General features: G+C 53.1%; 2 protein-coding genes across 18 annotated transcripts in view, besides 11 other annotated features; both read right to left on the reverse strand.

The window, feature by feature from the left end:
• Window positions 1-2,505, reverse strand: part of POU2F2 (POU class 2 homeobox 2) — a 111,827-nt gene extending 109,322 nt beyond the window's left edge. The window contains exon 1 of one of the 2 annotated variants that reach the window (XM_047438955.1): window positions 2,002-2,505. The gene's annotated coding sequence lies outside the window, so the exon portion shown is untranslated. Of the gene's footprint in view, window positions 1-951 lie in introns of both variants that reach the window. The other variant, XM_047438954.1, reaches the window with a different exon arrangement.
• Window positions 1,321-1,862: an enhancer, noted in NCBI's record as "H3K4me1 hESC enhancer chr19:42700904-42701445 (GRCh37/hg19 assembly coordinates)". NCBI's record gives its function as "activates a minimal SCP1, AML or CMV promoter by ChIP-STARR-seq in primed H9 embryonic stem cells {active_cell/tissue: H9 hESC(primed)}" and the evidence as "EXISTENCE:reporter gene assay evidence [ECO:0000049][PMID:30033119]".
• DEDD2 (death effector domain containing 2) lies at window positions 3,167-24,703 on the reverse strand. Of its 16 annotated transcripts, none has more exons than XR_007066647.1 (7): window positions 24,643-24,703; window positions 22,201-22,398; window positions 21,249-21,614; window positions 19,702-19,821; window positions 14,269-14,409; window positions 6,558-6,641; window positions 3,167-4,398 (listed from the first exon to the last, which is right to left on the reverse strand). XR_007066647.1 is itself a non-coding variant. In XM_017026402.2 (7 exons), the coding sequence occupies exons 2-7, from the start codon at window positions 21,574-21,576 to the stop codon at window positions 4,007-4,009; spliced, it is 1,101 nt and encodes a 366-aa protein (XP_016881891.1). In that variant the 5' UTR covers window positions 21,577-21,614; window positions 24,643-24,703; the 3' UTR covers window positions 3,167-4,006. The 16 variants fall into 16 exon arrangements, 8 of the variants coding, with proteins under 8 accessions (XP_016881891.1, XP_047294270.1, XP_047294271.1 ...); XM_017026402.2 differs by lacking the exon at window positions 22,201-22,398 and adding an exon at window positions 9,031-9,128 and having other exon boundaries at window positions 6,620-6,641; XM_047438314.1 differs by lacking the exon at window positions 6,558-6,641 and adding an exon at window positions 9,031-9,128.
• Window positions 3,433-3,969: an enhancer, noted in NCBI's record as "H3K27ac-H3K4me1 hESC enhancer chr19:42703016-42703552 (GRCh37/hg19 assembly coordinates)". NCBI's record gives its function as "activates a minimal SCP1, AML or CMV promoter by ChIP-STARR-seq in naive H9 embryonic stem cells {active_cell/tissue: H9 hESC(naive)}" and the evidence as "EXISTENCE:reporter gene assay evidence [ECO:0000049][PMID:30033119]".
• Window positions 3,809-3,968: an enhancer, noted in NCBI's record as "active region_14703". NCBI's record gives its function as "activates an Ori minimal core promoter by ATAC-STARR-seq in GM12878 lymphoblastoid cells {active_cell/tissue: GM12878}" and the evidence as "EXISTENCE:reporter gene assay evidence [ECO:0000049][PMID:35858748]".
• Window positions 4,169-4,418: an enhancer, noted in NCBI's record as "active region_14704". NCBI's record gives its function as "activates an Ori minimal core promoter by ATAC-STARR-seq in GM12878 lymphoblastoid cells {active_cell/tissue: GM12878}" and the evidence as "EXISTENCE:reporter gene assay evidence [ECO:0000049][PMID:35858748]".
• Window positions 6,336-6,545: an enhancer, noted in NCBI's record as "active region_14705". NCBI's record gives its function as "activates an Ori minimal core promoter by ATAC-STARR-seq in GM12878 lymphoblastoid cells {active_cell/tissue: GM12878}" and the evidence as "EXISTENCE:reporter gene assay evidence [ECO:0000049][PMID:35858748]".
• Window positions 6,666-6,745: an enhancer, noted in NCBI's record as "active region_14706". NCBI's record gives its function as "activates an Ori minimal core promoter by ATAC-STARR-seq in GM12878 lymphoblastoid cells {active_cell/tissue: GM12878}" and the evidence as "EXISTENCE:reporter gene assay evidence [ECO:0000049][PMID:35858748]".
• Window positions 21,377-21,582: a silencer, noted in NCBI's record as "fragment chr19:42720960-42721165 (GRCh37/hg19 assembly coordinates)". NCBI's record gives its function as "represses an EF-1alpha promoter that drives an FKBP-Casp9 reporter gene in an ReSE screen in K562 erythroleukemia cells {active_cell/tissue: K562}" and the evidence as "EXISTENCE:reporter gene assay evidence [ECO:0000049][PMID:32094911]".
• Window positions 21,664-21,723: a silencer, noted in NCBI's record as "silent region_10689". NCBI's record gives its function as "represses an Ori minimal core promoter by ATAC-STARR-seq in GM12878 lymphoblastoid cells {active_cell/tissue: GM12878}" and the evidence as "EXISTENCE:reporter gene assay evidence [ECO:0000049][PMID:35858748]".
• Window positions 21,734-21,833: a silencer, noted in NCBI's record as "silent region_10690". NCBI's record gives its function as "represses an Ori minimal core promoter by ATAC-STARR-seq in GM12878 lymphoblastoid cells {active_cell/tissue: GM12878}" and the evidence as "EXISTENCE:reporter gene assay evidence [ECO:0000049][PMID:35858748]".
• Window positions 22,605-23,481: an enhancer, noted in NCBI's record as "H3K27ac-H3K4me1 hESC enhancer chr19:42722188-42723064 (GRCh37/hg19 assembly coordinates)". NCBI's record gives its function as "activates a minimal SCP1, AML or CMV promoter by ChIP-STARR-seq in primed H9 embryonic stem cells {active_cell/tissue: H9 hESC(primed)}" and the evidence as "EXISTENCE:reporter gene assay evidence [ECO:0000049][PMID:30033119]".
• Window positions 23,482-24,357: an enhancer, noted in NCBI's record as "H3K27ac-H3K4me1 hESC enhancer chr19:42723065-42723940 (GRCh37/hg19 assembly coordinates)". NCBI's record gives its function as "activates a minimal SCP1, AML or CMV promoter by ChIP-STARR-seq in naive and primed H9 embryonic stem cells {active_cell/tissue: H9 hESC(naive and primed)}" and the evidence as "EXISTENCE:reporter gene assay evidence [ECO:0000049][PMID:30033119]".

Below are 24,723 nucleotides of genomic sequence, written 5' to 3' on the forward strand. Positions count from 1 at the left end.
ACGCCATTCTCCTGCCTCAGCCTCCCCAGTACCTGGAACTACAGGCGCCCGCCACCACACCAGGCTAATTTTTTGTATTTTTAGTAGAGAAGGGGTTTCCCAGTATTACCTAGGATGGTCTTGATCTCCTGACTTCGTGATCCACCTGCCTCAGCCTCTCAAAGTGCTAGGATTACAGGCATGAGCCACCGCGCCTGGCCCCCTCCCTCCCTTTCTTCCCTCCCTCCCTTCCTCTTTCCCTCCCTCCCTTTCTTCCTTCCTTCGTTCCTTTTTTCCTTCCTTCCACCACCTTCCCTCCCTCCCTCCCTTCCTCCCTTTCTGCCTTTCTTCCTCCCTCCCTCCCCTTCCTGTCTTTTTTTTTTTTCTGAGACAGAGTCTCATTCTGTTGCCCAGGCTGGACTTCAGTGGCGTGATTTCGGCTCACTGCAACCTCCACCTCCCAGGTTCAAGAGATCCTTCTGCTTCAGCCTCCCTGGCAGTTGGGATTACAGGCATGTGCCACCATACTCGGCTAATTTTTATATTTTTAGTAGAGACGGGGTTTCACCATGTTGGCCAGGCTGGTCTCGAACTCCTGACCTCAGGTAATATGAACAGTTCGTTTCTGTCCTGCACTTTTCAGAATGTTATTTCACAACTAAACGTATCTGGGCGGTGGCGGTGGTGATTCGTAGCAGAAAGCACAGGGAGCTTCCCGGTGCCCCCAGCGTCCCCTGGGCTCCGACCCGCTGTGTCCACATCATCACAGGTGCCCTCCAGAGCCAGCACCCAGGCCACAGTCCCCTCAAGGACCTGTGGGCCATTTGCTGGGCCTGTCTCACATGATCTCCTTGTGTGTAACTGTCGGGTTCCAGGCCTGTGTCCCCACCTGTGCCTGCTCCCCACGCGGAAAAACATGGGGACAATGGCTGCTGACCCTCGAATGGGTGGTGGCGGCACGTTCTCACTTACCTCTGACTCTGTCCGTCTTACTACATCCCATTCAGGCACGTCCCGAGGCCTTCGCAAGGGCTGAAAAATTCCAGCAAAGGCTGTCCCCTGCCCAGAATACCCCGTCACTCTGTTGAACTCCTCCTCAGCCCGCACAGGCCAACCCAAGGTTCCGCTCCTCCGTGGGGCCACGCCGGCCTCCCACATCTCCCATGGGCTCCGATCTCCTGTGGCCCCACGCCCTGTCCCCACACGATCCTGTTTCTCTACCCGATGCTCCCAGGGTTGTCCTCCGGGCTCAGATCTGACCCACCTCCGGGCCCCGAGGGTCAGTCCCTCACCCCCCGCGCCTCGCCCGCACTCTTGACTAGCTCAAGGGAGCTCCACGGCGCATGCGCTCAGGGAGGCTCTGGAGGCGCGAGCCTCTGCCTCATGGTTCCCGCCAAGTGCACTGCGCCAGCGCAGATCCCTTCAGCCTCAAGGTTGGCCCTCCTGACTTCTGGCAAGCACGTGCTGGCCAGAGGCACGTCTGGGGCTGAACAGGGTTAAGGGGGAGGTGACCCAGAGAATGGGGTGGGGCCAATGACATGGAACGGAAGCAGGGGCAGAGCCTGAAATGTGTCCAGCCTTGAGGTGGGACCCGTATTCAAATGAGGCCAGGAGACAAGCCAGGGGCTAGGGGCTCAAGGGAATGGCAGGTCCTAGAATTTAGCCCAGTAATTGGGAGCCCAAACACAGGTAACCCCACCTAGAGGAGAGCCTCAGCCTTAGGTCATGAAAATGGAAGGGTCAGGGCAAGGGAGTGGAATTCCCCACCTCATTCCCCACCTAACTGCTGTCACTAAGGTACTCTCCATCTCAATGCTCCCACCACTCAGGTAAATCACCTGCCCTCTCTCAGTCCATTTCACATCAAACATGGGTTTAAAATCCCACAGTGTGGCTGGGGGCTAAATAGATCTTGAGTAGGTGTCCAGTGGAACTCAGCTTCCTCCCAGAGAGGGTCAAGGCAGAACCTGGGATCACACAGCAGCTGGCTCCACCAGGCCTTGGCTGCTGGATAGGACTCACGACTAGACTTTGCCACTCCCCTCCTGCACATCAAGACGGGTCGAAATTCCAGAACAGGCTCCAAGGTGTGGGCAGGGGCACCCATCCCTGCAAGAAAGGCAGCCTTGGAAATCCCTGCCACCCTACCCCCACTCCCCACCCCTGAGGAAGGAAAACCCTGAATATTGAGTAAGAGAAACGAGTTCCTGAGCCCTTACATGAGGGGTGGGGGAAGGGCAGGAGGCCACAACCTCAGCTGGAGCCACAGAACAGCAGGAGGAAGTGTTTGGCCTCAGAAAGAACAGAGATCCAGGTGAAGAGAAGGTTAATGTCCAGGTGTGACCAGTGGGGAGCCACGTGGAGACAAATTCCAGGCAGAGAACCTCTGGCTGCCTATCTTTTCATTTTCCAAAGCTTAGGCGCTTCATCAGCCTTGGGTGTAGCTGGCCCACCTCACTGAACAAATTAAAAATCCTGGGAGTGGCCGGGTGCAGCAGCTCACGCCTGTAATCCCAGCGCTTTGGGAGGCTGAGGCGGGCGGATCACAAGGTCGGGAGATCGAGACCATCCTGGCTAACATGGTGAAACCCCGTCTCTACTAAAAATACAAAAAATTACCCGGGCGTGGTGGCGGGCACCTGTAGTCCCAGCTACTCGGGAGGCTGAGGCAGGAGAATGGCGTGAACCTGGGAGGCGGAGCTTGCAGTGAGCTGAGATCATGCCACTGCACTCCAGCCTGGGCAACAGAGCAAGACTCCGTCTCAAAAAAAAAAAAAAAAAAAAATTCCTGGGAGCCCCCAAGGACATACAGGAGCAAAGCATGTGTGAACATGGTTGGAAGGGTTTCTGACTCCGAGGCAGTATTCTATTTCTTCCTTTGACAGAGGACAAGACTGACACCCAGAGGGGAGGACAAGCGTGTGGTTATCAGCTGGCATATGGTCCAGCATCCTGCCCACACTCCAGTCCCTAACGCTGGGCCAGGAACACTCCTCCTCCCAGCCCACTGAGGTCCAAAAGCTGGGCATGGTGACGGGCACCTGTAGTCCCAGCTACTTGGGAGGCTGAGGCAGGAGGATCGCTTGAGCCCAGGAATTTGAGGCTGGCCTGGGCAACATATCAAGACCCTCAACTCTAAAAAAAAAATTTAAATTAAATAATAAATAAAGAGTCCTAGAGAGGCCGATGCCCACCTATGCCCTTTCCAGGGCAGTTTAATTGGTATCATTTGTAAAAGGTCTTTTCCATCACCCCCAAAGCCTTTGCATTCCCTTTCCAAGAAGGTGGCTGTTTACTGGTTTTGGCCCCATGTGCAACAGTAGGCCTTGGTATGATGCTGCCATAACACTCCCATGTGACACTCCAGGTGACATCCAAGTGCAAGTCTATGTTCAGCTCTGGACAGCAGGGGGGAAGGTGAGGAGAGTCAGGTCTGTAAATTGAAGCTGGGCAGGGCCCTGGCTGGCTGGAGATGTGTGGGCAAGGTGAGCAGGCCCCATGTGCACCCCAGCTCCAGTGCCCACTGATGTGGCTGAAGCCCAGGTTGGTTGTGGTCAAATTAGAGGTCCTGAGAGAGAAGCCCTTAGGCCAAAGAAGTGTGTGCTGGGAAGCAGGCCAGGGCAGAGGCCCAGGGAAGATCTCAGCAGGGGCAGTGTGAGCATGAGCGAGTGTGTGCACCTGTGACAGTGCAGACAGCCCAAGATCAGAGATACAATGTGCAGGGGGGCCTTTGGTGAGTGTGTAGCTGTGCCCCTCCCTTCTGAGATACAGGCCCAGCCCCCGCCTCCGGAGGCTAAGGGGGCACACCTGGGGGTAGGAGGAGTCTGGGAAGGAAACTCAGCTGGAAATGGTTTAGGCCTCAGAGCCCACATCCTGTGGGAGGGGCTGTCAAGGGGCCTGCTGTCCCGGTCCTGTCGCAGTCCTCAAAGATGCTAGAGTGACAGTCCTCTAGGGGTAGAGATGGTCGTCCTCCCAGGAGAAGGTGGCCCGGAGACTTGGAGGTGGGATCAATCCTGCCAGTCCTGGATCAGGAGGCCTCTGTCGGGCGCCGCCCCCCTTCCTCCTCCATCAGCAACAGGCGGCGCCGGCCAGCCTCATAGTCAGCCTCATCCACACTGACCAGCAGGCGAACAGCCTCCCGGCCCACAGCCTCTCGCAGGGCCTCAGTCAGGAACACGCCCCGCAGGGCCTGCAGCAGGGCGCCACTCAGGTAGTCGCCCCAGAAGGCGTCCAGATAGGAGAGCTCTGAGAACTTGATGTCACAAACCACAGAGCCCAGGTCCCTTGAGCGCAGCACTGCGGTGGCCTGCCCAAACACGTCCAGCTGCCGCGCCAGCGCCTGGGGCCGCCGGGATGCCACGCCCTGCTCCAAGGCTGGCCCATGCTCGCAGTACTCTGCTCGAACCCGGAGCCGGATGTCTGCAGGGGAAGGAGGGATTTGTCAGGGAGGGGGCCAACACTAGACACACTTATGGGGAACGCCACCCTTCCTCCCTCCAGCCTTCTCCCTCCACCCCCTTCCGGTAGCCACACCCTAGTCCTGACACAGCCTCCCCGGCTCTGTGGGGTTCCCTGACCAAGTACGTCCTCCTCTTCTCCAGCCCACCACCTCCTCACTGCTCCAACAAGCCTCCCCACCGCCAGGGGTGCTCTTTCCCTGGATCTGCACAACACTTGCTCCCTCTCTTCCTGCAGGTCTTTGCTCAAAAGCCACCTTGCCAACAAGGCCCACCTAGGCCAACCTATTTACAGCTGTAACCACCCACCCAGCCCTCTCTGCAGCATGCCAGGTCCCACACCCTGCTCCATTTTTGTCCAAGGCACTTATCACCTTCCAACCTCCTCTGTCAGTTACTATCTGCTCATTATCTGTCTCTACACTCAGCATGGAGAGACAGATGACAGCAAGGAAGGGGTTTTTGTCTGTTTTGTTCACTTGTGTAACTGTGGCACATAGTAGGTGTTCAATATGTATTTGTGAAGAACTAATGCATGAACTAATGGACTTGCCTTAAGGCAACCAGCCTCACACCCTGCCCCCAAACAATGAGATTCACATGGTGCCAACCACATCCCCATCCCTCCCATCCACCTGAGCCAGCACTGCGGATGCGCAGGGTCCTGACCAGGCCCGGGAGGCTTGCGGCTGGACCTGTGCTGGCTCTACTGGGAGTCAGGTACTCTCTTGCCACAGAGCTGCTAAGATGATGGGTTGGAAGCCCAGAGCTGCTGGGAGCCACTGTGCCAAGAGGAGAGAAGGAAGCCTACGCAGGGCCAGCCCCAGAGATAAAAAGATTCCTGAGGTCATCACATGAGCCCACGATCGTAGCTGGATTTTCAGCTACACTCAACTCCCCTTTTTGCTGAAGCCAGTTTGAGTCGGTTTCTGTCACAACTCTCCCCACATCTGCGCAAAAGAGGTGGCAGCTGTGTACAGGGGACAGGACACTGGACTTCTAAGGCTATCCTGTAATCATGAACTTCACATACCACCTCTCTTCCAGAATTTCTGAATTCCCACCCATCACTTAGGCTAGTGACAGTACCCCCTCTCTCTACACACCCAACGAGGCTGTCCTGAGGATCAGCTGTGAGCCAGAAACAGCAGCAGCCAACACTTACAGAGTGCCGACTATCTGCCAGGCGCCAAGTGCTTGAATCACAGAAACTCATTTAACCTATAAATGACCCTGTGGGACAGGTCCTATTATCACCCCCAACTTACAGATGAAAAAATGGAGGCCAAGAGAAGTGAAGTGACTTGCCCAAGGTCACACGGCCAGACAATGGCAGTGCCTGACAGAGGTCATTTAACCTCCTATGTCCCTGAGAGAAGGCTCCTCAATCAATGAAGTGGATTCCCACACAGGAGCCTTCAGCAGTGTGACCTGTGACAAGTCACAACCTCTCTGAGCATGGGTTCCTGCCTAAACAAGGGGACAATTCCTACTGTGAGGAGCTGTTAAGAGGATTAAAAAGAGAGCAATGGATAGAAAGGAACAAGCTAGCACTGCACACAGTGTCCAAGGGGTGCTCCCAGAATGGCAGCCACCAACCCCTCTGATAGGCCAATTGCCTGACCCTTGGGGATGCAGTAGAATCAGCCCTGTGGGGCAGAGGCCACCTTCAGCCCACTTGACAGATGAGGAAACAAGGCTCTGGGAGGGAATGTCTCATGCTGTGGCTCCCTTCAACTTTCACAGACCATGTCAGCCACAGAGCAGAAAGGAGAATGCAGGGCCCCTGCTCCCCAAGACAACTTCACAGCCCTGCCCACTTCCTCCTTCCACCCCAAACCCTTCCTCTTTCTGGCTCTAGGGGAACCCCATCCTCTCCACCCAACGCCCAGGGAAGCCTGCCCAGCCTCAGCCCCCAGGCCCTCCCATGGCATTCAGACCCAGCTGTCTCTACCCAGACGACCAGATCCTTGACTGCATCCTTGACTCCAGTAAGCAACTGGCCATGACCTCAATCAATGTGGGTGGGAGAGCAGGGGGCTGGGAGGAGCAGCACCTCTTCCAGGCCACCCAGGAGTGGTTGGCCACAGAGGCAGGGCCAGGTGGCGGAGTCCAACAGACCTTGAGGTGAGTCCCAGCTCTGCCACTCTCTAAGCTGTGGGGCCTTGGGCATGTGACCTTACCTCTCTGAGCCTGTTTCCCCATCTGAAACACAAACAAACAAGAGGTCCCTGCTGCACATTGAAGTCACAAGGATTAAATGAGGCAACTCATAAAATGCTTGCTTACAGCCCTACGACAAAGAAGGCTCCCAGAAACAGGAACTGTAATTTCGACACCCAACTCCCTACACCCATGGCCCTCACCCAGGCCTTCATCTCTCTCTCACGGGTCCCTAAGCCAACCTCCTCCTTGGACTCCTCCAGTCCCTGCCGTGTCCCCCCATACCCTGCACTCCAGTCACAAGAAAATGTTCCCAACAAGAGCCTTACTTACAAAATGACCTGTCCACCTCCTCCATCCAGAACATTTGCCAAGGCTCAGCTCGTGGGAGCCCCACATCCTGCCCAGTTGAATCCTCTCTCAGCTCGTCCTTCTCCCCAGCATGGACCTCTGGTATAAGTTCTCAATCCACCCAGAGCCCCCACCATGTCAGAGTGGACAGGTCACAGGGACAAGGCCAGAGCAATCTCCATGCCCCCATTCAATCTCTTATTCAACAGATATTTTATGAATGCCAGGCATGCTAGGGTGACACAAGAACCTTGCCACAAGTGGGACGGGGAGACATGTAACCCACAGTTAGGAAGCACTCCCCACAAGCCAGGCTCTACTCAAGGGCTTTCCTCTCTCAGCCCACCTAATCCTCAGAGTACTTTCACCAGCCCCATTTACAGATGAGCAAATCCTTCAGCAGACCACACACTCCCACCTCTGAGCTGGAAAACATGATCATGGTGCACAGGGAAAAGACAGGGAGGTGCCACCAGGCAATAGGAGCAGGCGAGGCTTCTCTGAGCCTCTGCTCCACCCTTAGCACCCAATCACGTGCTTTACCCCTCCCCAAAATAATCACAACAGGTGACACCTGCCTATAGCTTTTACTACAGGCTGGCACGGTACTACATACTTCACATCTGCTGACCCCTTTGATTGTCCCCACAACAATCAGGTGATGCTGTTATTATTCCCTTTCTGCAGATGGGGAAATTGAGGCACACAGGTTGAGTCACCTGCCTAAGGCCACCAGATAGGAAATGGCAGAGCTGGAATTTTACCTCACGTGTATGGCTCCAGTGCCCGAGCTCTTAACTACCCCTATCCTGTTGGCTACCTCACACAGAACCATACACATCAAATACACAACTAAAAGACATCCTGAGAGCCAGCAGAGAAAATTAGACAGGGCGAGTTATAGTTCAGATTGAAAGGATCAGAGAGGATCTCTCTAGGAAATGACATCTGAAGTAAAATGTGAAGGAGGACAAGTAGGTTTAGAAAGAAAAACAGGAGAGAAAAAAAGAATGGCATTCTCAGGAGAGATGAGCATTTATGGAAGTCCAGAGAGAAAATGAACTTCAGGCCTGCACAGGCTGAGGGGCCGGCGTGGCAGGAACGTGGAGGGGAGAAGGGCGCTAAGGGAGAACGGGCAGCCAGGTCAGGGAGGCTGATCTCAATCCCAATCGCCAGCAGACTCAAGATTCTAGGGCCTCTGGAAGTGACCACACCTCTCTGTACCTCGGTGGCCTCCTGTGTAAAACAAGGCTCCCCCTAACATCCGCCCATGTGGGGTTACTGTGAGAATTCAAGGCTCAATGCAAGGAAAGAGGGGAGGCCAGGAAGGCCAGGCATGCAGAGAGGACAGGAGGCAGGACCTGCCAACTTAGGGGCAACTCCAGCTGTGCTGTGAAGTGGCAGGTGGGTAGAAACAGGGCCAGGGCAGCAGGCAGGGGAAGGGTCACAAATGGCTGTCCAGGATGGGAGCAGTAGACATGGAGAGAAGTGGAGGAACTGTCCAGTGTGGCCCTGAGGTGGCAGGCAGGAAGAGCACCCAGCACCATGTGCGCTGGACCGTGGGCTGGCTGCATCTTTTCCATTTTGGCAGCTGTGGGGAAAAGTTCCCTGTCCCTGGGAGGGTGGGGGGCAGGTGCCATGCCTTCCTAGAGAGGAGAGCTGCTCCTGCTTCCTGCACTCAGGTGGGCCCAGCACCCTCTTGTCCCCCACCCCCACCTCACCAGTCTCTCTTCTGGGGCAAATGGGACATCAAGTGAAATGGGCTTCTCAGTGGGGGACCAGGGTGAAGTTCAAGGGAGCAGGCCCTGGGCTGGGTGTGTCTGGGAGCCCAGAGATGAACCTCACTCAAGTCGTCTCTCTAAGAGTTCCTAGTTGGGTGGTGATAAGGTTTGGATGTATGTTCTCTCCAAATCTCATGTGGAAATGTGACTCCAACATTGTAGGTGGAACCTCATGGAAGGTGTTGGATCATGGGGCTGGGTCCCTCATGAATCCCTTGGTGATGAGTGAGTTCTTGCTCTGGTATTTCCCGTGAGAGCTGGTTAAGAGTGTGGCAGCTCCCCCACCCCCCAACTCTCACCATGTGACAAGCCTGCTCCCCTTGGCCTTCCACCATGAATGGAAGCTTCCGGAGGTCCTCAACAGAAGCAGATGCTGGCACCCTGCTTCTTGTACAGCCTGCAGAACCGTGAGCCAAGTAAATCTCTTTTCTTTACAAATTACACAGTCTCAGGTATTTCTTTATAGCAACACAAAAATGAACTAACAAAGATGGGCTGGGGAAGAAGAGGACCTGTGCTCCCACAACACTGGGAGATGCTTCCGGCCTTGCTGGAGAGAGGCAGCCAAGGTGCTTCAGTGGAGAGACCCCACCCCCGCCCCGCCCCCACACCAGGACCAGCACCAGCCCCCTCTGGACAATGGTGGGAACCCTCCCAGCATCTTGGCTTGCCTCCCTCGTCTCTTCTCCACAACAAAGCCAGCATCATCATGTCAAATGGAAAGTTTTTCAACTCCTACTGAGTTCAACTCCTACTGAATTGAGGCAATGAGGAGAAGCTGCCTCCAACTCCAGAGAGGGATAAGCAGCCATCACCTGCTTCCTGATGGAGGCGCACAACACACCCTCAGAAGCGGGATTGAGGAAAACAAAACATCAAACCAGAATCTGATCAAGCCTCTCCAGACCCCACTACCCATCTTCAGGAAATACAAAAGACAGGGTAGAACACACTGAATCAACCCTACTGCAGGATACAGTCAGCAAAATCCAGTCTTCGGGAAATGCCACAGGACAACTGCTTTAGAAAAATACAACGCAAGGCGGAGAAAGAGAGATGGTAGGGGAAAGGAGAGACTTCAGAGAACCTACATTTATAAAACAACTGAAAATCTGAGCACCGATCAGATATTTGATAGTAAGGAGTTACTAATCTTTTTTGGCGTGAAACCCTATTTTTATCTTTGGCCAGCCACAGTGGCTCACACCTGTAATCCCAACACTTTGGGAGGCCCAGGCGGGTGGATCACCTGAGGTCGGGAGTTCGAGACCAGCCTGACCAACATGGAGAAACCCTGTCTATTAAAAATACAAAATTAGCCGGGTGTGGTAGCACATGCCTGTAATCCTAGCTACTCGGGAGGCTGAGGCAGGAGAATCGCTTCAACCCGGGAGGCAGAGGTTGCGGTAGGCTGAGATCACGTCATTGCACTCCAGCCTGGGCAACAACAGCAAAACTCCATCTCAAAAAAAAAAATCTCTTTTCAAGATACACAGTGAAACATCTACAGATGAGATCATAGGGCAACCAGAATTGACTCCAAAATTCCTAATTATCCTAAGATGAGATCAGCCATGAGTTGACAATGGCTAAAGCTAGTCTATCTACTTTGGTGTATTTTCCATAGAAAAAATTGCAGGGGCCAGGCGGTGGCTCATGCCTGTAATCCCAGCACTTTGGGAGGCCAAGGCAGGTGAATCGCTTTGAGCTCAGGAGTTCGAGACCAGCCTGGGCAACAGGGCAAGATCCTGCCTCTAAAAAAACACACAGAAATTAGCCAGGCATGCTGGATCACGCTTGTAGTTCCAGCTACTCAGGAGGCTGAGGTTGGAGAATCACTTGACCTGGGAAGCGGAGGCTGCAGTGAGCTGAGACTGCGCCACTGTGCTCCAGCCTGGGCGACGGAGACCCTGTCTCATAATTTAAAAAAAAAAAAAAAAATTGCAGGGGAGAAGCAAAGCTGATCCTGTCATTCAAATCCTCCAACTGCTTTCCATAATAAAAAAAAAAAAAATGCAAAGCCCAGGCCCTGCAGGATCTGCCCTGGTTCCCTCTCCCGCCCTCACCTCCTAGGGGTCTCCACCCTACTCCTCCATTCCTGTCAGTTTCCTTGCCATCCTCCACGCTGCCCTTGAGCACTGGCACATCCCACTTGGGCCTGTGCTCCCGCTGTCCTCTCCATCGGGAACACCCTTCCCCTGACATCTGAAATCTCTCTCTTGGCTTTCTCCCACCACAGCACAAGCTCAATGAGGGCAAGGTCTCCCACCCCGGCTGACCTAGCATATAGTAAATACCCTATAAATACATATGGAATAAACAAATAAACAAACCCAAGTTTCAGCCAAGCTCTGCCCCCTGCCACTCAGACTAGTGACCGCCTTTCCCTGATCGTGCCTCTTCCTTTGCAAGATGTCATCCCACCTCAATGGCTGTCTTGAGAATTCAGGGCCGAGTAGTGCCCACCACAGACCCTGAGAGGCACATGGTCGCTCAGATGTCCTGTGTCCAACCCTAGGACCACCAAGGTGTCCTTCCTCACTGTCTCAGGCAGTCGAGAGTTTGTCTAGTTCTATCCCTCAATGGAGGGCAGCTGGCTGGGGGTCACAGGTATCACAGGTGAGGAAGAGTCAAGAATAGCAGGCCTCTTCTTCAGTCAGGCCTCCTTCCACCTCTGGCATTCGGCCTCTCTAAAAAGTAAGCCATTCCATTTTTCAGAGGGAAAAACAGGAGCCCAGATGGGGAGAGCCTCACTCCAGCCCCACCCTGCCTGGTGAGTCAGCAGTCAGACCTGCTCACCCATCTCCCATCAAGACCTAGCCAAGCCCTGGTTAACGACCTCCTCGCCTCGGGAAAGAGACCTGAAGCCTCCCTTGGCCTGTTCCTATCTTCCTTGAGGCAATGACTCCCTCACCTGCCCAGCCAGCCTGGTGGCTCTGGGAATTACTGGCTGATTCGAGGGGGAGTCACCACCAGGCAACCACCCCCTCAAACCCTGCCGCGCAAGCCCACATAGCTGCCTGAGGACCCAGGGCTGGCTCTCTAGGTCTGTTCCTTCTGACAGCACCCAGCACAGGTTATCTGCTGCCTCATCTACAAAGCAGGCATGATGCCCACTCCCTGGAGGGCCATTATGGGCACTAGGAGGGGGCAGGTGCGCGTGCTTTGTGGGCTGGAGAAAGCTCTGCAGATGGTAGAAGGAAGCACCCCCAGGCCAAGGTCTCCTAGAAGACAGGACATGCCAGCATCTCACCAGCTCCAACTTGGTCTTCTGACCTCCAGCTTCCACAATGGCCTCCTCCCCTGAACCCTTCCACTCCCCCCAGGGGCCTCCTCCCCTCCCTCAGCAGCCTCAGCCCTTTGCAGGGGCTCGGCACCACCCCTGGCCTCATGTTTCATTAGGGCACTTGTCACTAGCTGATGCCGTCTGCTACGCTGGCTTATTTTCGAGTTATCTGTCTTGCCCACTATAACGTAAACTCCTGGAGGCTGAGGACTTTCTTCACCTGGTCCAATTCTGAGCCCTCCGTGCCTGGAACAGTGCTTGGCATAAAGATGATCCTAATAAAAACTGGATGAAGGAATTAACAAACCCTTCCATGGCTCCCTCACCCACCACCCCCTAGAATAAAATCCAAACCAAGGCCCCCCACCTGCCTCATCTCCCCCTGCTCCCACCCACAAAGCCTCTGCTCCAGACAGACTCAGCCCTGACCACATCCGGCTGGGGACGTTGTACGCATGAGTCACTCTGCCAGAATCACCCTTCCCAGCTCCTCTTCCAGCTTCCTTGAGCTTGTTCTAGACATGGCACCTCCACAAGGAAACTGGGGCTGGCCAGGAGACTCCCTGCACACCCCAGAGCCCCTGCACTCACAATACCCGTGCCACCTGTCACATCAGCCTGGCTGCCACTTCCCTCATCTGTCTTCCCTGCAGCCTGAGAGCTCGAAGACCATATCTGATCCCTTCTGTGTTTCCCAAGCTTGCCCAACTAGAGAAAGGAGTACTACAGTTGAGGCGGTGCTCATTGCTGTGTCCTCCCCACATGACCAAGTGGAATTTCTCAAGAGCAAGGTCAAAGTAGTCTCACAGCAGAGTCCCCAACCCACCCAACCCATCGTGTCTACAGTCAGCCCTATGGCCAGTGCCCTTCCTTATTTCCTAGGTCACTTCTCCTCACCCTCTCCAACACGACCCCCAGGCCAGACCTCTGCCTAGTCCTTCTCCACAGACCTCACAGCCTCTTCAAGCGATTAATTTAATCTACGTAACACATGCCTAGCAGAGCACCTACTAGAAGCCCAGTGCATCCTAAACACTTTGAAAACCCTAACTTGCTTATTAACTGATTTTCCAGATGGAGTTAGAGTTCCCTGAAGAGGAATCACATCACGTCACCCTCCTGCTCAAAACCCACTGCCAGTGCCTGGCGCATGGAATAAAATCCAAACTGTCATCCCTGCCGTGGCCCGCGAGGCCAAGCTGCTCCGGCCCCAGCCTGGCTCCTCCACCTGCTCCCACCCTCTCTTGGTGGCACTTATCATTGTCTAAAATGATCTTCAGTTTCACTGGTCACCTGACTAGGTCAGCTCCACAAGAGCCGGGAACCTTGCTGCAGCACTCCTGCCCCAGGCACACTGCACAGCAACAGTGAGAACAAACCCTCGTACAGCGTGTGCCGGGTTGGGCACTGCTCCAGGCATACTGTGGGTAAATTTGTTTTCTCACAACAATCCAAACAGGGAGGTGATTATCAGCCTCACTTTACAGATGTGGAAACTGAGGTGGATGGCTGGGTGCGGTGGCTCACGCCTGTAATCCCAGAACTTTGGAAGGCTGAGGCGGGTGGATCACTTGAGGTCAGGAGTTCAAGACCAGCCTGGCCAACATAGTGAAACCCATCTCTACTAACTAAAAATACAAAAATTAGCTGGGCGTGGCAGTGGGTGCCAGTAATCCCAGCTACTTGGGAGGCTGAGGCAGGAGAACTGCTTGAACCCAGGAGGCGGAGGTTGCAGTAAGCCAAGATCACACCACTGCACTCCAGCCTGAGAGACAGAGGGAGATGGCGTCTCAAAAAAAAAAGAAAAGAAAAGAAACGAAACTGAGGCAGAGAGGTTCAATTACTGGCCTGAGGTCAGACAACTTATTTAAGTGCCAAGACCAGGATGTAAATCAGGCAGCCTGATCCAGGATCGTTGTTTTTTTACCCCGTGATATGCTGCCACTGCACAAGAAATGTCTGAATAAGTAAACCCCGGCAGATGTTTGCTGAATACACAAATGAAACTAGGGCAGGGGGTTGTCAGGAAAGGCTTCCTGAAGGAGGTGGCACAAGATCTGATCCTTCAACAATGGACAGGATGTAGACAGGCAAGATGGCGAGAGAAAGGACAAGAATTCCACTGTGGTGAACGAGAGCTGACACCCATCTGCCAAGTGTGTCACATCCCCCAGAAAAATGCTCATTTCTCCCACCCTCTGAACCCACCCGGGGCACTCTACATGCATTGCCAAAGCCTACAGACACCTACCACAGGTCACTTTGCCTTCAGAGGAAGGTCTGGCGGGCTCTGACTGCTGCTGGGGTGCGGCTGGGGCCCCTCTCCGCCGCCGTCTGGCACCACCACTGGGCCGGCCCCGACTCCGCCGCTGCCGCTTGGTTGGGGGGGAGCCTGAGGGGAAAAAAATGGGGCAAGTTGAGGACCAGGATGACAGCTAGAGTGCCCAGGTGTATGCCTGGAAAAGAACTCAAGGTGTTCTCGGTGCTGAGACCCTGAGTGAGCCAGTCTGCCTCCCTTCTTCAGTGGCCCTGTCTAAAAGATGAAGAGTACCATCTAGCATCATCTAGAAGGGCAAATGAGTACACCCCAGCACGCTGCAGCAGGCTCACTCCAGGTGTGATGTGACCCTAGAGAAATCCCTGCACACTTACACCAGGAGACACACACGACAACCGCCACCAGGGCATTGTTTATCATGATGAAAACCTGAGAACAACATATCTGGCAAGAAGAAACAGGAATATAGGGAGATGTCCAGGATAGACTGTTTAAGGAAATAAAGCAAGATACAAAATAAGTGTCTACAGTGTGCTGTACTTTGCATAAGGAGGGAAATTAAGATTATATATATCTGCAAAATGAAACACTAGAAGCACAGACTAGAAATGAATGAATTGGGGGTGAGGGGCACCCAGCAGTAGAAATGACATGTCTAAAAATACTTTTCATACTTTTTTTTTTGAGACCGAGTTTCGCTCTTGTTGCTCAGGCTGGAGTGCAATGGCACAATCTTGGCTCACTGCAATCTCCGCCTCCCGGGTTCAAGCAATTCTCCTGCCTCAGGTTCCCAAGTAACCGGGATTACAGGTGTCTGCCACGACAACCGGCTAATTTTTTGTATTTTAAGTAGAGATGGGTTTCACCATGTTGGCCAGGCTGGTCTCAAACTCCTGACCTCAAGTGATCCACCCGCCTCGGCCTCCCAAAGTGCTGGGATTATGGGCATTGAGTCACCAAGCCCAGCCCCACACTTTAGTTTTGACTTTTGACTCATATAACTGATTTACACACTTAAAAAGTTAAAATGAAATAAACCATAAAATTAACACAAATAGGCCGCACACGGTGTGGCTCCCGCCTACAATCCCAGCACTTTTGGAAGGCCGAGGTGGGTGGATCACTTGAGATCAGGAGTTCGAGACCAGTTTGACCAACATGGTTGAAACCCTGTCTCTACTAAAAATACAAAAATCAGCTGGGCGTGGTGGCGCCTACCTGTAATCCCAGCTACTGGGGAAGCTGAGGCAGGAGAATTGCTTGAACCCAGGAGCTGGAGGCTGCAGTGAGCCGAGATTGTGCCACTGCACTCCAGCCAGGGTGACAGTGTGAGACCCTGTCTCAAAAAAAAAAAAAAAAAAAAATTAAACACAAACAGAAGAAAATGAACCTGGTCGGATGTTGTGGTTCATGTCTGTAATCCCAGCCTACGCCCTAGGAGTTCAAGACCAACCTGGAACCCGGGCAACATGGAAAAACCCGTCTCTATTAAAATAAAATGTAAAAAAATTAGCCGGGTGTGGTAGCACGTGCCTGTAGTCCCAGCTACTTGGGAGGCTGAGGTGGGAGGGCTGCTTGAGCCCAGGAGATCTAGGCTGCAGTAAGCAGTGTTTGCGCCACTGGACTCCAGCCTGGGAAACAGAGCTAGACCCTCAAAGGGAGAAGGGAGAAGAAAAGGAAGGAAGGAAGGGAGAGAGGGACGGAGGGAGGGAGGGAGGGAGGGAAGGAGGAAGAGAGGGAGGGAGGAAGGGAGGGAGGGGATTGTATACATAATTGGTAACAGGAATACTCAGATGAAACAATTATTCAAGTAACTTGAAGAACATTCTGACTGTAAAATCTCAATGGGATATGCTCAGAGAACAAGAAACACAAATAAAATCTATGTTTCATTCACTAGATACAGTCAGCAGTTGTACTGACTTTGTTATTTTGATGCTATTTAATTACTGTTGTAAAATAAATCAAACAAACCCACATCTTAATGTTATTAAGAGGAAAGACTTTTAGTATAAAAAAGTCTGGCTGGGGCTGGGTGCAGTGGCTAACACCTATAATCCCAGCATTCTGGGAGGCCGAGGCGGGCGGATCACCTCAAGTCGGGAGTTCGAGACCAGCCTGACCAACATGGAGAAACCCTGTCTCCACTAAAAATACAAAATTAGTCGGGCGTGGTGGCACATGCCTGTAATCCCAGCTACTCAGGAGGCTGAGGCAGGAGAATCGCTTGAACCCGGGAGGCGGAGGTTGCGGTGAGCCGAGATTGTGCCATTGCACTCCAGCCTGGGCAACAAGAGTGAAACTCTTTCTCAATAATAATAATAATAATAATAATAAATTAATTAATTAAAAAGTCTGGCTGGGAGCAGTGGCTCACACCTATAATCCCAGCACTTTGGGAGGCCAAGGCAAGCAGGTCACCTGAGGTCAGGAGTTCGAGACTAGCCTGGCCAACATGGTGAAACTGCGTCCCTACTAAAAATACAAAAATCAGCTGGATATGGTGGTGTGTACCTGTAGTCCCCGCTACTCAGGAGGCTGAGGCAGGAGGATCACTTAAACCTGGGAGGCAGAGGTTGCAGTGAGCTGAGATGGCGCCACTGTACTCCAGCCTGGGTGACAGAGTGAGACTCCATCTCAAAAAAAAGTATTTGTGATGTTTTTGTTTCTTTGTTTAGAGTGGGGATCTCGTTCTGTTGCCCGGGCTGGAGTCCAGTGGCATGCCACCACACCCGGCTCGTTTTTTTTTTTTCTCTGAGACAGGGTCTTGCTCTGTCACCCAGACTGGAGTGCAGTGGCATGATCTCAGCTCACTGCAACCTCCACCTTCCCAACTCAAGCAATCCTCCTACCTCAGCCTCCTGAATAGCTGGGACTACACGTGCACATCACCATGCCAGGCTAATTTTTATATTTTTTATAGAGACAGGGTTTTGCCATGTTGCCCAGGCTGGTCTCAAATGCCTGGGCTGAAGCAGTCCACCCGCCTTAGCCTCCCAAACTGCTGGGGCTACAGGTGTGAGCCACTGCACCCGGCTAGGTTTTTTATCTTTTTAGACACAGGGTCTTACTATATTGCCCAGGCTGATCTCGAACTCCTGGCCTCAGGCAATCCTCCTGCCTCAGCCACACAAAGCACTAAGATTACAGGCATGAGCCACCAAACATGGCTATAACATTAATCTTTAAAATACTAACAGAAACTTTTTGAAAAGTCAAGTCTCTAACACTGTTCACTGAAAGAACCTAGAACAATATACACACTCAACACCCAGGTTTTGGTCTCTAAATACCACAGCTTCCTTGAAAAACAGCTGATTCTAGGGTGCGGAAGGGAAAGTTCAAAGTCAGCCCAGGACATCTTGCAGTGCCACAAAGCAGGAAGCACACAAAGAATGATACAAACACATGAAGAAGACACAAGAGGCTAGCCAGTTGGAACTGCAGGAAGACTGACTGACTGTAACAAGTCAGTAAATAGTGTATGGGTCTATAGTGACACTCAAACTCAAAGGGGCATTGGGGGAATACCTCTTGAAAGAGAAAGAAAAAAGAAAAAGAATTAGAAAAATCACCATTTTGCAAACACCAATGTGATAACTGGTTCAGGCAAAGCTCATAGATGTGAAACCCACTGAGTAAATGGCTATTAGGGAACAGGATATGCCAAAGTATCACCCCATAGACTGTTTACTAACCATGAGAACTAAATGTCCCTTCACAATGGACAAACATGGCAGATATCCCCTTAACCAAGTGACCAAACTTTCCCACATCGGAAAAGCCAGGCCGTACATGCCTGGAGATGTACTCCAATATGAACTAGATGGCAGCAACCAAGGATTATTCCTGCTAAAGATGTATAAACTGAATCTAACCAAGCCTCAGACACAATTCCCATTTAACAAAAAATGTAAGGGAAAGAGGGACGAGTTACATAACTCCATCAGGAAAAAAACAGACAGATAAAGAAACAATCAGGACATTCTACAAAACAACCGGCCTGCTAGGGTGAAAAAATCAATGTTACAGGAAAAAGAAAAAGGTATGGGGTGTAGGGGCAGTTTCTGTGCTATAGCAGGAGACATAACAACTGAATGCATACCAACTCAACTATGAATAGATTCTGAACGGTCCCACAGTCTGGGGATTTTTGAAAATGGACCATTAGAATGTCAGAGAATTCGTGTTTATTTTCTTAGGTATAATAGTCTTAAAGTGGTACAGGAGAATATCCTTATTCTCCACGGATGCCTAATTTAGGGGTAAAGCATCCTGATGTCTGTAATTTACTTTCAAAGGGTTCAACAAAAAAATCCAGAATTACGTATACACATAAAGCAAAAGTAGCAAAATCTTAACAATTATTGAACCTAAGTGGAAGATGTTAACTGTACTAATCTTTCAACTTGTATGTTTGAAATTTCACATAATAAAAAGAGGGGTGGCCAGGGCGCAGTGGCTCAAGCCTGTAATCCCAACACTTTCGGAGGCCCAGGTGGGCAGATCTCTTGAGGCCAGGAGTTCGAGACCAGCTTGGGCAACATGGTGAAACCTCATCTCTACTAAAAATACAAAAAAATTAGCCAGGCATGGTGTCATGCGCCTGTAGTTCCAGCTACTTGGGAGGCTGAGGCAGGAGAATTGCTTGAATCTGGGTGGCAGAGGTTGCAGTGAGCCGAGATTGCACCACTGCACCGAAGCCTGAGTGACAGAATGAGATTCTGCCTCAAAACAACAACAACAACTAGAGGTGGCTGGCATGATGGCTCATGCCTGTAATCCAGCACTTTGGGAGGCTGAGGTGGGAGGACTGCTTGAGGCTAGGAGTTCAAGACCAGCCTGGACAACAAGGGGGAGACCACACCTCTATAAAGGATGAAAAAATTAGCCAGGCATGGTGGCATACCCCTGTAGTTCTAGTTACTTGAGAGGCTGAGGTGGAAGGACAGCTTGAGCCCAGGAGTTCAAGGCCGCAGAGAGCTATGATTTCATCACTGCACTCCAGCCTGGGTGACAGACCAAGCCCCTATCTTGAAAAAGCCAAACAGAAAAAAACAAAAACTGGGGGTGGTGAGAATAAATAAGTTAATTGGGGCATGGCAATTAAAATAATACAATTAGAGATACTCAGCATGAATAAATCTCAGACACATCTAGCAAAGACAGCCAGGTGCAGAGTAATACCCACAATGTAATGCCATTTAAACGAAACACGAAACTATGTGCAACAATTCTGTATGTTGCTTCAGAACAGAGTATCTGTAGCAATAAACACACACACACACACACACACACACACACAGTGAAAATGAGACAGAATAACCCCTCAGGCCCCTTCCTTGATGGGCACAATTCATAAGGAAAAGAGGGATGCTGCCATTACACCCACCCAGCTGGGCTCACCTGTCTCCCACTGACCCTGCTGAGAATTTGCAGAACTGCTTGACTGCCGACGGCGACGGCAGCTACCCTCTGTCCTCTTTGAAGAGCTGGAGGTGCCATAGCTATAGCGTTCTGGAGACACTGGAGGAAGAGAAGAACAGGAAGAAGCATTCAGCCTCCTGGCCCTAATTCCCACCCCTGGAAGAATGCCTGCACCACGAGGTGCCTAAGTTCCCCAGTAGTCAGAGCCCAAATACCCACTCATTCTCAAACACCTCCTGCAGAGGTTGCTCAGATGCCTCCTAAGAGAGAGAACTTATCACGACTTGGGGCAATCTAACCCACGTCTACGGCAGCTCAAACTGTCAAGGTTATTCTGTTGATAGTCATGGTAAGGGTCCCTGTAATGGCCCTTTGCCCTGGCATCAACTGCCCCCAGCTCTCCCCAAGGAGTAAGCAGGCCTCTGTGCAGGCTCCCCAAATCTTCTCTTCTAGAGCGTGATCTTCAGACATAGATATCCAAAAATGCTGTCAGCTCTTCCCTAGAGCTGTCCTTCTCCTGCTTATCTAAATCCTGTGGGCTTACTCTGGGTCAGGGAAGGCCATAATCCCCCCTCCCCAAACTAGCCACTGCCCCTTTAGTAACCCAGACAAAGGCTTGGTCTATTCATGCACACGGCTACCGGCAGCCTGAACCCCTCCCAGCTTCTCATGTGAAGGCTGCTATCCTCCAGGAGCACTTCCTTCACAAGGATTAAGGGCATCAACTCTGGGGACAAGTTGGCTAGGTTTGAATCCTGGCTCCCACACTTCCCAGCTACGTTCTCTGCAAGCCCCTTCATGACATAACTTCTTACCTCCCTCTCTTCCCTAGCTTGGGTCCCCTCTGCTCCTGCCACACTGGCCTCTGATGATGCCAAACTCATTCCCACCTCAGGCCTTGGATGCTCCCTGGGATTTTCTCCCCTGGGGTCTATGCATGGCTGGCAGTGCAGCCTCAGGGCAAAGCCTCCCTTCACCTTGCTGCTCTCCTGACTCTCTCTATTCCATTACTTTTAGTCTTCCTACAACAGCGTCTAAAAATAAGTTCTCTTATTATCTGATTGCCCCCACTAAACTTAAACTTCATGGAACAAACACCTTGTCAGCTCCATCATCCTGTATCCCTCCTAGGCCCAGCAAACAGGATTGTTATTATACGTGCAAACTGCTTAACTTCTCTGAACTTGTTATTTTCTTGGTTACAGTGAAGACAGTAACAGGACTTCCTTGTGAGATTACTGGGAGACTATAAGGCACTAGTTCATATGAAGGGCTGACAGCTGTGCCTGGCATGAAACAAGCCCTCCGTAAACAGTGGCCAAAATCATCATCACTGATGTGGCCAAATTCCCAAAGCCATGCTTTCTTCCTCTTATGTTGCTCATTGATATTGTGGGAAGAGAGAGTAGCAGAATGGGACATAAGCTGCCTGATATGGCACTGTCCGTATCAGGGCACCAGGGAGGCCCAGCGGGAGCCAGGCCCTTTCCTCCCAGGAAGTGTGACACCCTCCCATTCAACCGTACCTGGCCGGCGCCGCTTGCGCGCCAGGTGCGGCAGCAGGTCGTGGCGGGCCAGCACGCGCAGGAGTTGCCCCAGCAGCCGCAGGTTGCTCTCGTCGCACTGCCCGCGGCGCTCCAGCTCCAGCAGGAGCTCTAGGCCGCTGCGGGCCCGGGCTAAGCCTCCGGCGGCGCCAGGAGCCTCATCCAGCAGAAAGGCCAGGAGCTCCAGCTCGCACTCGGTCAGTTGCCCGCCCACCACCTCGAACATACGGTGAAGCGACAGCATCCCGTAGTAGTCCAGGCACTCATCCTCCTCCCAGCACGGGGCCGGGGTCGACCCGGATAGCGCCATTCCCGGGGGAGGGAGGCGGAACAAGCTCAGAACCCGGCCTAGAACCCACACAGCGGGGAGGGGGCAGTGGTCAGCGACGCGGAGGCCCGAACCCCACACCGCCAGCGCGTCTCCCCCGCCCAATCGCGCCGGGCAGGGCCGCTCCCGCACCCCCAACCGCCTCGGCCTCCCCCTCCCCCGGGAGGGAATGGTCCCGCCCGAGGTCCCCTAAGAACAGGTCGGGACGCCGGAGCCCGCTCGGCTTCTGCCCCCACCACCGTGCTACGTTCGGAGCTCGCCTCCGGACCTGACCAAACGATGCGGCCCAAACAAGCCTCGGGGCCCACCCCGGGGCTCCCTGCTGACTGCCCCTGACTCTGGGTAGGACTGCCCAGACGAGCCCCTTTTCTCCGTCCAGCGGTACCGTCTGATGAGTCCCCCGGCTCTACGCAAGTGGTACCTCCCGAAAGTGACCCTCTGCCCCCTACACAGAGGAGCGACCCAGGCAGCCCCTTTGCTCCACACAGGTGGTACCGTCCGAACCCGACCCCCTCGCCCTGCAAGGGCGGCCCCGCCCGCTCCCCAGAGCCCAGGTGGTCCTGTCTACCCGCCACCAGTCACCATTAGGCCTCTCTGGATCCTCACCAGATTCTGGCGTCCGATGACTCCTGGGCGACGGCCGCAGCCACTTGTTTTGGATCTTTCTGGCACCTTCTCTATTATTACGCCTGCGTCACCTCGCCCCTCCTCCTTCCCCCAACTCGCGCAGGTGCGACCGCCACGCCCCTTCGGCGCATGCGCAGAACGAGGCCTCCAAGCCCCGCCCTTCCTGGGCCGCTTGACCTGCCCCCAACCGAAGCATCTTGGTTCGCGAGTGCTGCGCTTGCGCAGAGCGAGAGCACGCCGCCTCTTGGGCTGTATCTGGTACCCGGTTCCAGGTCCCTACTTCCTGCCCGTGACTCAAGCCACCGGGGCCATGTAGCGCCACGTCACGAGTAGTTGTAACTACTCATCTCATAAACTACAGCCCCCTCCTGATCACGAGCTAGACGCCCACATCACCACTGCCCCTAGTTGCCCGTGGCAAAGTAACACAATCACTACTTTCCCGTCTCCCAGTAAACTCCCAGGCCTTATATGATCTGGTCCTGGGCACTCCTCCATTAGATTGTCCCTCACTTCTAGTGACAACCAGGGATCTACATCTCAACTGTGCTCTCTCGTGATCCCAAATGGAAATCCCGCCCCCCCACCACCACCCCCGCAGTCTATAAGTTCCTTCCCCTGATCAAAACCAGAATTCCCTCATCTCACGTTCAGGACGGATACCTCCTTCCAAGCGGCAACAGAACCCTCCATTCCGACTGTGTACATCTCGATGGCGTCCATCACGACCCCCATCACAGTCAGATGTCTCCACCCAGAGCCAAAACGGCCCCTCCGTAACCCCTTCCAATCTCTGCCCTCCAGGGTCGCCCAGATACCCGCTCCCTAACTTGCAACAACTAGAGAGGGTCTGTCAGGGAGTCTAGGCTGTGGTGTATGCGTGTCCCCTTACCGCGGGGCCTTGGGTGTGACGGTCGCCACGCCCCCCACTTAGGTGACTCAAGGTCAGGACCTGCATGTACTTGAGACAAGTCCCCTCCCTGGACCTCTTCCCACCCCCGCAATTAACTCCTCTTGGGAGTCGGGAGATCTGGGTCCTGCCTAGCACTGGCCCAGTACTGGCTCTGCCTGAGCTGTAGCAGTGAATTCAAAAGAATCGGCTGCGCGCGGTAGCTCACGTCTGTAATCCCAGCACTTTGAGAAGCCGAGGTGGGCGGATCACACGAGGCCAGGAGTTCGAGACCAGCCTGGCCAACATGATGAAACCCTGTCTGTTCTTAGCCGGATGTGGTGGCACGCGCCTGAAATCCCAACTACTTGGGAGGCTGAGACAAGAGAATCTCTTGAACCAGGGAGCAGTAAGCAGAGATAGTGCCACTGCACTCCAGCCTGGGCCACAGGGCGAGACTTTGTCTCAAGAAACAAACAAACGCCAGGTGCGGTGGCTCACGCCTGCATTCCCAGCACTTTGGGAGGCCGAGGCGGGCGGATCACCTGAGGTCGGGAGTTCGAGACCAGTCTGACCAACATGGAGAAACCCCATCTCTACTAAAAATACAAAATTAGCCGGGCGTGCTGACGCATGCCTGTAATCCCAGCTACTCGGGAGGCTGACGCAGGAGAATCGCTTGAACCCTGGAGGCGGAGGTTGCCGTGAGCCGAGATTGCGCCATTGCACTCCAGTCCGGGCAACAATAGCAAAACTCTGTCTCAAACAAACAAACAAGACCGGACGCGGTGGTTCACGCCTGTAATCCCAGCACTTTGGGAGGCCGAGACGGGTGGATCACCTGAGATCAGGAGTTCGAGAGCAGCCTGACCAATATGGCAAAACCCCGTCTCTACTAAAAAATACAAACATTAGCCGGGCGTGGTGGTGGACACCTGTAATCCCAACTACTCGGGAGGCTAAGGCAGGAGAATCGGTTGAACCCGGGAGGCGGAGGTTGCAGTGAGCCAAGATCGTGCCACTGCACTCCAGTCTGGGCGACAGAGTGAGACTCCGTCTCAAACAAACAAACAAACCCTCCAAGAAATCCCTTCCCCTCTCTGGGCCTCAGTTTCCCTACTTGTGAAACAAATGGATGGCAATGGTAAGCTACGGAAGCATAGTCCTGGGCTAAACTCACAAGGGGGCCTGGTAAGTGACTATCATTAAATCAAACGAAGAGTAGGGAGAATAGGAAAGCAATTTAACAAACTGTGAAGGATTCTGTCTTGCTAAGTGGGTTGTAGTGGGCGCCTACAGTGTATGAGCGCTGTGCATGTGTGATATCATCCAATCCCCTAAACAATCTTTGAGGTGGCTGTGACTCAAGCTCACTTCACACCAGTAAAACAGAGGCCCGGAGAGGAGAATAACTCCAAGTGTGTCGGGCTCTAAAGCTGTACTCTCAGAAATGCTCCGTCTCTTCAGCTTTGAAATGACATCTCTGTCAAGGTCTCCCGCCGCCCAGTTCACTCCATGGGCCCAACGCTCACCAAAGGTTGCCCGAGTTTCTCTACAGAACTTGCCGACGCTTAGCCCGGGAGCGACCCAGAGAAATGCGCAGGCGCATCTCC

The sequence above is a fragment of the Homo sapiens genome, chromosome 19 (assembly GCF_000001405.40).
Source record: "Homo sapiens chromosome 19, GRCh38.p14 Primary Assembly".
Taxonomy (NCBI): domain Eukaryota; kingdom Metazoa; phylum Chordata; class Mammalia; order Primates; family Hominidae; genus Homo; species Homo sapiens.

Bases quoted from the DNA above. Each gene is read 5' to 3' on its own strand.
- DEDD2 (XM_017026402.2), bottom strand. From the start codon at position 21,576: ATGGCGCTATCCGGGTCGACCCCGGCCCCGTGCTGGGAGGAGGATGAG. The intron at 9,129-14,268 runs GTAGGTGTCTGT...ACGGTTCTGCAG, and splicing joins TGAAGGCAAAGTGACCTGTG to GCTGTACAAGAAGCAGGGTG. The intron at 6,642-9,030 runs GTGAGAGTTGGG...TTTGTGTTTCAG, and splicing joins GGGAGCAGGCTTGTCACATG to ATGGGGAAACAGGCTCAGAG.